We start from the raw sequence: 10,894 nt of genomic DNA on the forward strand, positions 1-10,894 counted from the left end.
CATGGTGGGTGGGAGGAACAATTATTTGTTGCATCTGTTTGGCATTAAATGCAGTAGTACCTCAGACTGTGTGTAAAACACACACACACACACACACACACACACCCCACATACTTCTAAATGTCTTGTGGAAATACCGATCCTAGTTGGGAATGTCAAGTACATAATATGCTTAGGATCACAAACAGCAGATAAATAGCAGACCCAGGACTTGAAAATAGCTGTGTCTAGCTCAGAAGGTACATACTCTTTCTATTGCGTTATCCACAGAAGTGAGATGGGAATGCACAACCTTGTAAGGTCTAAGCCAACCCGAAAAGATTCTGATTTTCTCATTCTTCCTTTTTCAATTCCATATAATGTATCAACTACAAAGTTCTGTAGATTCAACTTTTGTGATGGCTTGTTAAATTCATCACCTCCTTTCTATTCCCACAGCCACGACCTCAGTTCCAGGGCCTTGTTCCCTCTCTGCCCCTAGTTTATCCCCCTCTTGTGTTTTCCTATTCCAATCCAGCTGACTAACCTTTTACCAGATTACTCTTCCTAAAGCAGAGGATCTGACGTTTTTTTTAAGCTCAAAAACTTTCAATGGCTTTCCATTGTCTGCTAAATCAAATCAAAACTCTAGCATCCACTGTCTTTTGCAGTTTACCACCAATCTGCCTTGGCAAGTTTAACTTCCAATTTTCCGCTAATCGTACTCTAAAATCCAGCTCAGCTGGTGTTCTTTTCATATGCCCTGAGCTTCCCTGCCTTAAAGCAGTTGTTCCTATTTTCTCTGCTTAAACTGTCTTCTCTATCTCCACCTGTTGAAATCTTATCTGTGTGCCACAGTCTATCTTAAATAATAATAGTTAATATTTATTGAGTGTTTATTTTGGGCCAGCCACTGTGCTAAGTGTGTGCAAGTATTTTATATGGATTATCTCATCTAATCCTCACAACAGCCCCATGAGGTGGGTGCTATTATTATCCACTTTAGCCTGAAGTTAACAGAAACTCAGAAAGGGAGAAGTAATTTTATTTGTCCATGGTAACACAAGTTAAATGGTGAGCATGGGATCTGAACTCAAATAGTCTAGCTCTGGAGCCCTGAAAGGCGTTACAATTTCAAAAAAAGAATAAAAAAAAACCTTTTTCTGATTTCGTATGGTTCAACTTGATACAATCCTTACTTGGCAGCCTCTAAGCATTTTTATTTAACTTTTAAAACCTCTCTTGTGTTATATTAATATTTATCCGTGTTTTTATATCCAGGATGAGACTGTCAGGCCCCAGTGGGCACAGCCTAGGTCTCAGACAGACATCTCACTGTCTCACACATGGTGGCACAGACTAGCTCAGTGAGTCTGCGGAGTTGAAGGTATGTTGGGGTGAAGAAAAGAACAGAGGAGTTATCTAGGGAAGATGTTCCAAACTCTCCTGCCCCAGCCACCCAGCATGACATTGGCCAACGCTGCCAACACCTGTCTAAGTCAGACCCTGAAGTCTCTGTTTTCCTAGCCTGGTCTCTGGCGGGTCCCTTCTTGTCCCCCAGTTCTTGCAGCTTGCTGGGTCTTGGCCAGTGTTTGGAGTGAGGCAGGATCAAAATAACACTGCCCGGGGCTCAGCTTCCAGGAATGAGAGATCAAGTGAAACCAAGCTCGGCGGGTGAGGGGGTGGATTGAAAGCCCCCAAACAGAGCCAGCATGCTCTTTACACAAGCCCTGACTTGCCCTCAAGCCACGCGGGTTAGCAGTTCTGCTTTCCTCAGGATGCTCCACAAGTCTGATCCACTGTCCCCGCCTTCACTAACACCCAGCCTCCTTCTCTTCTTTATCTCCCAACCCTAGATGCTCAAGGTTGTTGGACACGTCCAGGCATGTTCTCAGAGGCAATGCAGGTCCAGTAAGAGCCTACAGGAAATGGCTCGCCAAGATCCTAGAGATGTCAGCCCAGATCCCTGATACCTCAGAAAGCGCTCTCCGGACACAAATGGATGGACTGACAGCCAGCCACAGGGCGCCTTCCCAATTGTTCTGATTTTGCGGTACCCTAGCAGGATCATCCTGACCTGATTCTGTACTTCTGCACCTAGATGCCGCAGGTCCCAGCCGCCTTGCCACACCAGGGGGTGTTCCCACACTCACCCGGTAACGGACGAGTAGATGGCTCTTGCTCCCAAATGGGACTCCGGTACAAATCCACCTCAGCGCAGAGCACACATCTCACCCAGCCCCCTCCCGTCACCCCCCGCCCTTCACCCCGCGCCCCTCAGCCCCCGCCCCTCAGACCCGCCCATCAGCCCCGCCCCTCAGCCCCCGCCCCTCAGCCCCCAGCCTGCATACACACTCACAGTATATGAAATTCCTTGTAATCAAAGTTCCGCTTGACTCATTTCACATCCACGTGTAGCAACAACAGCCCAAACCCTCCTTTCACGGTAAGCTTACCTCTTCCGCCCCCGTGAAGTTCCTAGAGCAGCTATTGGACTGTTTGAGTGCCTAGGCGTGGCTACGAAAAGAAACTGCCTTTGAGAGGAACAATGTGAGGCTGAAGAACAGTGACCCAGCCACTGGTATGGCAGGAGCTGCAAATCTCCTGGGACTGAAGCGGGGGCCAGAGAGTAGAGGGCCAGGGAGTGGGGTCCAGAGAAAGCATCAAGTTGTCTCTTTCACAGCTGAATGCAGCTCAGCTCATCAAAGTTTATTCATGACTTAGCAGGCTTGGAGTTTGACAGGGAAAATTATTGTTGGAAAAGCCAAAATTTTCAGACACATGGAGAAGCCGCTTTCCAGCTCTGCATCTGCCTCAAAAAAATACTCCTCCATTCAGAAGGGTAGATAGGATTGTGACAGGAGGAAGAGAGCAGACATGAAGCAGGGAAAAGACCACTAAAAATAAAGGAAAATTGGATTCGGCACTCAGCTTTGATCATCCATCTTCTCTGGGCCCCTGAGTGTCTGTACAAGGAGGGGGTTGAGCTACGTAGTCTCTAAGGGCACTTCAAACAATGACACTTTGGGAGTTTATTAATCCATGATCTCAGAGGCAGCGGTGGATAAATCCCGAAACGTTACTAGTCCCTGACCTTGAAGAGTTTGCAGAGCTGGGAAGATAAAGTAGACCGGACAGAGACAGAGAATTAAGGGCCAAACTATGAGGTGCAGACTGGAAGGGTTTGGGGGCCAGTAGGAAGAAGGAGTAAAAAAGAGTCTGACAAGGAAAGCAAATGCTTTTCAATAGATTAGGAGCTTTTAAAAGAGGTCAAAGAGGAAATAGCCTAATGGGTAGAGGAAAAGAAAAGCTTGAGCCAAGGTATGGGGGAGAGGACCAAGAAATGAGCCATTATCAGTCTCTGAGGGACCCCTCCTGTACTGGGCAGAGGCTATATGCCAGCTCAGGGTGGAGTCTCAGTAAAGCAGCTGAAAAGCCTTTGGTGGGAAAGGGCTGAATAGGCCCTAAGCTGAAGTAGAAAAAGTCCTAAATGAACTTCATATCTGTCCCCTAGCTAGAGTTAAGACCAGAATAGGCTACTGTGGGCTCAGGCCTAGTAGAAGGGAAAACTGCCAGAATTGGAATCCTAGGTCTGCCCCTTACTAGCTTTGTGACCTAAGGCAAGTTACTTAACCACTCTGTGGCTCAGGATTCTCTTCTGTAAAGTGGGGAAAATAACAATCCCTTACTCATAGGATTGTTTTAGGTATTATATGAGTTAATATACAAAATAGTGTTCATATGCGTAAGGAGCTTAGAATGATTTCTGGGACGTAGTGGTATAGAAGTGTTTATTAAATATAAATAAATACATGAATGCAATTTAGGGACCTCTGAAATCATCTGTGAGATTCAAATGAAAATAGCTACCCTGGGTACCTCCTAATTCTGTTCTGTCCTTTCCTAGAAAACAGGACCTCTTCTTTTTCTCCATCCTTTCCTACCCAGAGAAGCTGAATTACAGACAGTTTTGAAACTTTAGTGTAAAGAACCCTAGCTTGGAATTTAGATGTCTTGACAAAACTAAGTGTAACATCATGTAAATCTCTTCCTCTCTCTTAGTTTTCCTTTCTGCATCTGTATCCTGAAGAGACTGTTGGACTGGATGACCTTGAAACGCTAGAGCCGTGCTTCTCTCATATTAATGTGCACACAAATCACCTAAGGATCTTGTTAAAACACAGATTCTGAGTTAGCAGCTGTGGTGTGGGACTAAGACTCTGATTTTCTAACTGCTTCCAGGTGATATTGATGGTGCTGGGCCACAGACCATAGTTTTAGTAGCAAAGGTTTAGAAGGTGGACAAGAATAACATTTACTGAGCACCTATAAATCATGCATATGTGTCCCTTTATACCTTACAACCATTCTATGAGGTTGAGGTTACCATCCTCATTTTGTAGATGAAGAGGCTCCTTGTACTCTGTGATTCTGCCTGGAAGTACAGGAGGAAACTTGAGATAGAGGTACCAGGGATATGTCAGAGTCCACAAGCTATTGTGGAAAGTGATTATAAGCAGCAAATATGAAACCACTGTCCTCCACCATAACTTGTCCAATAATACTATAACAGTTAGCTGGCCCTCACTAAGCACTTGCCAGGCACTGCTCAAATTTTTTTCATGAATTAATTCATTTTATCTTCATAATCTATGAAGCCACAATCATTAGAATTATCCTCCCCTCTCCTTTTGCTCACACCTCACATTCAACCCATCAGCACATCCTATCAGCTCTGCCTCCTGCCTCAGAGATAAACTCTGAATTTCACCAACTTCTTAGCACCTTCACTGCAACCACTCTGGTGCAAGCCACGATTACTTTTCACCTGAATTATTGCCATATCCTCCAATAGCTCTCCTTGCTCTCATGCTTACCCCACTCCAGTCAATTCTCAGCAGAGCAACCAGAATGATCCTTTTAAAAGTACATCAGTCTAAGTCTGTCCAAGCAATTCTACTGGTTGGCTTCTTATTCAGCAGAAAACCCAAAATCCTTAACTATGGTCTATAATAGTCTACAATCTATCCCACGCCATCCCATCCTCACTAACCTGCCCCTCTATCTCTGATCTCACCTCTTACCACTCGCCTTGACCACCATACCCAACCCCAACTGGCGGCCTTGATATTTTTTCCAACACTCAAAGCATGCTCAAGACTCTGGTCTTTGCACTTGCTGCTCCTTCAGCCTAGCCAATTCTTCCCCCAGATATCAGCATGGCTCCTTTTCTCACTTCCTCCATATCCCTGCTTAAATGTCACTTTATCAAAGTGGACTTTCTTGAATACCCTAGCTAGTACAAGCTAATGGGATTGCCTAGGCCTTTTGAAATCCACTGGGTAGGTGAGCTTTTTCTCAACATAGCCCCAGGACCCCCGGTGCAGTGTGGTGGTGAGTAGGGTTAAGGCTCTCAACTCTGCTCTCTGTGGGGGAGCCACTCTAGCTCCATGTGCTTGTGCAGCAGAACTAAGTTTGGATCAGCTAATTTCTTGGGGGCTTTCCACAGCCCCTCCTTTTATGATAAACAGGAGTCACTTTGTGAACCCAAACTGAGAACTATCAGTACAGAGTTTCTCTACCTACATTCTACTGCTGGAACCAGCCTAACCTGACAGCAGGATAGGCAGGACCAGCCTCCACTCTGCTTATCTCTGGGACCAGACAGATTCTGGGGCTCAGTGAGATTCAGGGCTCTCTGATGCCACCCCTCAGCTCTCTCTCAGAGGTTACTTAGGGTCACTCAGGGGAATACTGGCCTTGGCTGTGTCTCAGAGAATCCTGGGTAGCCTCTAATTCTAGTGTCCAACAATGGCAGGACCACCTTTCATGAAGGAGCTTCATGGTTATCCAGGCAGAATGGGGCCCTTATAGCTCCTCTCAAGACTGGGACCAGGGGGCAGGAAAAGAAGCTGAAAGACTAAGGGGATGCTGAGGCCTGTGGGGCAACCCCTGTAAACTCAAACATTGCTAAGGATGTCCCTGAACACAATATCAGCTTCTTGTTCTCTTTAGCCTGTGAGATGTGTGTAGATAAACTTGGCCATAAATGTTTGCTGCAGTGGTGTATACAGGCTTAGGTCTTCTGAATTAGAAAGCTGGGGTATAAGAGTTACTTCTAGCCATGGGAATTTTCAAACTTCAGCTAGATTCTAGCACAGTCCAATAGTGTTATCTCTCATTTTAAATAATCTTCTATTCCACTTGCCCAAGATGGCTTTTAAAACTCACTCTTCTTAAGTCAAGTGCTCAACACAGCTCCCAAACCCCTAGCAGATGACTTCACCTCCAGTTTCACCGAGAATGTAAAAGGGCACGAAACTTGAAGTCTAAACAACTTCTGACATCTCCACATTCAAGTTCATCCTGTTTCTTACCTCAGAGTTTCCTCCTGTCCCTCCTGTCTCCATCTGTGTTTACTCCTGTCTATTCCATTTTGCTTTATTTGTATCTTCATGGTCTTTCTTCCTCTGGCTCTTTCTCCTAAATTGTCTTTCCATTCTGAACTAAGATTAATTCTTTTCATATCCTCACCTCCACCTCTTCATTTCCAAACTCACTACATTTTGCTCTTCTCAAGGTCACCCATGATTTTCATACTATCAAACCCATGGATTCTTCTGTTTTCTTATTTGAATTATCTAAAACATCCAACATTGTCTGGATTCTTTTCTTTCTGACTCTCTTCCCTTGACTTTCATGGAACTAATGTCTTCTAGTTTCACTTATTTCTCTACAGCATTTTATGGATTCTCATTCTCCACTTGCCCCTCAAGTGCAGGGATTTTACAGAGTTCCTCCCACCCTCCATTGTCCCTCTGGCCTGATTCTAACTTCTCTCACTGGAGTGTGAACCTATGTGGCAGGGACCTTATATACCATTTCACAAATTTCCACATGCAAAACTGTACCTAGAGTATTTTAAGCGCTCAATACATTTTTACATATTATATATATCAATATATCTGTTGAATAAGCCCAAGGAGAAAAATGTTCACATTTGAATGTATCCTTCTATAATGAGCTCCCAGGCCTCAGGTGTGCCACAATAAAAATAAGATGGCTAAAAAGGAATTGAAACCCACACCCAAAATAATAATAATAGCCAACACTTGATCAATGCTTGATGAACTCTATATGTCAGGCCCTATGCCAAATGTTCTGTATGCAATAGCTCATTTAATCATCACAATAATCCTATGAGGCAAAAACCATGACATCACTCCTATTTTATAGATGACAAAATTGAGGCACAGAAACGATAGGTGACTTATCTATGCCATCTATCAGTGCCACAACCAATAAGTGGCAATTGACCCAGGATTCTCAAGAATAGCTGATGCCTTAATTATTCACTGTCACACTCAAATGTACAATCCTTGCTTTCCCTTCCAATCAGAGGCTCCTTCCATCCTCTCTGAAGAGCTATTCTAAACCTCTACCTTTAGAAGTAAAGGTTAAGTTCCTACTTTAGCACTGAATTCTTAGCCCAGAAACATTGACTCTTTTCTTCTTCATCAATAAAACAGATTCTATTAGGCATTTAGTGCCTATAACTTCTTCCCTAATTCCTATAAGGTTCTCTCTGTCTTCATTCATCTTGGCCTTTCCTCTTGAAGAAGAGGAGAGAATGCCTCCCCTGATATTTATGAATCTTTCTCCATCAATTACCCCCACTCTCTATGGCATCATTATTTACCTGTCTTCTGTGCCTACCCCTTTAACTCGTAAACATATTTGAATTCCTCCCACTACAAAATAAAATCAACCCTTCTACCACATTTCCTCTTTCTCAAACAACAGCCTCGTCTCATTTTTTTTCTTAGCCAAATTTCTGGATAGAGTTTTCTCTAATAACTGTTTCCATGACTTTAATTTCCATTAGCTCCCCAACCTACTATAATCTGGCTTCTAGCCCCATTTGTTCTCCCTAAAGCTACAGGGGACCACTTAACTGCCAAATTTTAGGAAACATTTTCTCTCATCTTTTTTTTTCTTTTTTTTATTATACTTTAAGTTTCAGGGTACATGTGCACAACATGCAGGTTTGTTACATATGTATACATGTGCCATGTTGGTGTGCTGCACCCATTAACTCATCATTTACATTAGGTGTATCTCCTAATGCTATCCCTCCCTCCTTCCCCCACCCCACAACAGGCCCCGGGTGTGATGTTCCCCTTCCCGTGTCCAAGTGTTCTCATTGTTCAATTCCCACCTATGAGTGAGAACACGTGGTGTTTGGTTTTTTGTCCTTGCGATAGTTTGCTAAGAATGATGGTTTCCAGCTTCATCCATGTCCCTACAAAGGACATGAACTCATCATTTTTTATGGCTGCATAGTATTCCATGGTGTATATGTGCCACATTTTCTTAATCCAGTCTATCATTGTTGGACATTTGGGTTGGTTCCAAGCCTTTGCTACTGTGAATAGTGCTGCAATAAACATACGTGTGCATGTGTCTTTATAGCAGCATGATTTATGCACCTTTGGGTATACATGCAGTAATGGGATGGCTGGGTCAAATGGTATTTCTGGTACTAGATCCCGGAGGAATAGCCACACTGACTTTCACAATGGTTGAACTACTTTACAGTCCCACCAACAGTGTAAAAGTGTCCCCATTTCTCCACATCCTCTCCAGCACCTGTTGTTTCCTAACTTTTTAGTGATCGCCCTTCTAACTGGTGTGAGATGGTATCTCATTGTGGTTTTGATTTGCATTTCTCTGATGGCCAGTGATGATGAGCATTTTTTCATGCCTCTGTTGGCTGCATAAATGTCTTCTTTTCAGAAATGTCTATTCATATCCTTCGCCCATTGTTGATGGGGTTGTCTGATTTTTCTTGTAAATTTGTTTGAGTTCATTGTAGATTCTGGATATTAGGCCTTTGTCAGATGAGTAGATTGCAAAAATTTTCTCCCATTCTGTAGGTTGCCTGTTCACTCTGATGGAAGTTGCTTTTGCTGTGCAGAAGCTCTTTAGTTTAATTATATCCCATTTGTCAAATTTGGCTTTTGTTGCCATTGCTTTTGGTGTTTTAGACATGAAGTCCTTGTCCATGCCTATGTCCTGAATGGTATTGCCTAGGTTTTCTTCTAGGGTTTTTATGGTTTTAGGTTTAACATTTAAGTCTTTAATCCGTCTTGAATTAATTTTTGTATAAGGTGTAAGGAAGAGGTCCAGTTTCAGCTTTCCACATATGGCTAGCCAGTTTTCCCAGCACCATTTATTAAACAGGGAATCCTTTCCCCATTTCTTGTTTTTATCAGGTTTGTCAAAGATCAGATAATTATAGATGTGTCGTATTATTTCTGAGGGCTCTGTTCTATTCCATTGGTCTATATCTCTGTTTTGGTACCAGTACCATGCTGTTTTGGTTACTGTAGCCTTGTAGTACAGTTTGAAGTCAGGTAGCATGATGCCTGCAGCTTTCTTCTTTGGCTTAGGATTGACTTGGCAATGTGGGCTCTTTTTTGGTTCCATATGAACTTTAAAGTAGTTTTTTCCAATTCTGTGAAGAAAGTCATTGGTAGCTTGATGGGGATGGCATTGAATCTATGAATTACCTTGGGCAGTATGGCCATTTTCATGATATTGATTCTTTCTATCCATGAGCATGGAATGTTCTTCCATGTGTTTGTATCCTCTTTTATTTCGTTGAGCAGTGGTTTGTAGTTCTCCTTGAAGAGGTCCTTCACATCCCTTGTAAGTTGGATTCCTAGGTATTTTATTCTCTTTGAAGCAATTGTGAATGGGAGTTCACTCATGATTTGGCTCTCTGTTTGTCTGTTATTGGTGTATAAGAATGCTTGTGATTTTTGCACATTGATTTTGTATCCTGAGACTTTGCTGAAGTTGCTTATCAGCTTAAGGAGATTTTGGGCTGAGACAATGGGGTTTTCTAGATATACAATCATGTCATCTGCAAACAGGGACAATTTGACTTCCTCTTTTCCTAATTGAATACCCTTTATTTCCTTCTCCTGCCTAATTGCCCTGGCCAGAACTTCCAACACTATGTTGAATAGGAGTGGTGAGAGAGGGTATCCCTGTCTTGTGCTGATTTTCAAAGGGAATGCTTCCAGTTTTTGCCTATTCAGTATGATATTGGCTGTGGGTTTGTCATAAATAGCTCTTATTATTTTGAGATACATCCCATCAATACCTAATTTATTGAGAGTTTTTAGCATGAAGGGGTGTTGAATTTTGTCAAAGGCCTTTTCTGCATCTATTGAGATAATCATGTGGCTTTTGTCGTTGGTTCTATTTATATGCTGGATTATGTTTATTGATTTGCATATGTTGAACCAGCCTTGCATCCCAGGGATGAAGCCCACTTGACCATGGTGGATAAGCTTTTTGATGTGTTGTTGGATTTGGTTTGCCAGTATTTTATTGAGGATTTTTGCATCAATGTTCATCAAGGAAATTGGTCTAAAATTCTCTTTTTTGGTTTTGTCTCTGACAGGCTTTGGTATCAGGATGATGCTGGCCTCATAAAGTGAGTTAGGGAGGATTCCCTCTTTTTCTATTCATTGGAATAGTTTCAGAAGGAATGGTACCAGCTCCTCTTTGTACCTCTGGTAGAATTCGGCTGTAAATCCATCTGGTCCTGGACTTTTTTTGGTTGGTAAGCTATCAATTATTGCCTCAATTAAGAACCTGTTATTGGTCTATTCAGAGATTCAACTTCTTCCTTGTTTAGTGTTGGGAGGGTGTATGTGTTGAGGAATTTATGCATTTCTTCTAGATTTTATAGTTTATTTGCGTACAGGTATTTATAGTATGCTCTGATGGTAGTTTGTATTTCTGTGGGATCGGTGGTGATCTCCCTTTTATCACTTTTTATTACATCTGTTTGATTCTTCTCGTTTCTTCTTTTTTAGTCCTGCTAGCAGTCTATTAATTT

General features: G+C 42.7%; 1 protein-coding gene across 52 annotated transcripts in view, besides 2 other annotated features; it reads right to left on the reverse strand.

Annotated features, from left to right (window-relative positions):
- The window catches only part of EDA2R (ectodysplasin A2 receptor), a 43,633-nt gene extending 41,226 nt beyond the window's left edge, over positions 1-2,407 (reverse strand). For 33 of the 52 annotated variants that reach the window (NR_136726.2, NM_001324202.2, XM_047442328.1 and 30 more), the window contains exon 1: positions 2,339-2,407. The gene's annotated coding sequence lies outside the window, so the exon portion shown is untranslated. Of the gene's footprint in view, positions 1-2,132; positions 2,217-2,338 lie in introns of those variants that run through there. The other 19 variants (NR_136727.2, XM_017029708.2, NM_001324199.2 and 16 more) reach the window with 1 other exon arrangement.
- Positions 1,277-1,416: an enhancer, noted in NCBI's record as "active region_29723". NCBI's record gives its function as "activates an Ori minimal core promoter by ATAC-STARR-seq in GM12878 lymphoblastoid cells {active_cell/tissue: GM12878}" and the evidence as "EXISTENCE:reporter gene assay evidence [ECO:0000049][PMID:35858748]".
- Positions 1,667-2,036: an enhancer, noted in NCBI's record as "active region_29724". NCBI's record gives its function as "activates an Ori minimal core promoter by ATAC-STARR-seq in GM12878 lymphoblastoid cells {active_cell/tissue: GM12878}" and the evidence as "EXISTENCE:reporter gene assay evidence [ECO:0000049][PMID:35858748]".

The sequence above is a fragment of the Homo sapiens genome, chromosome X (assembly GCF_000001405.40).
Source record: "Homo sapiens chromosome X, GRCh38.p14 Primary Assembly".
NCBI lineage: Eukaryota > Metazoa > Chordata > Mammalia > Primates > Hominidae > Homo > Homo sapiens.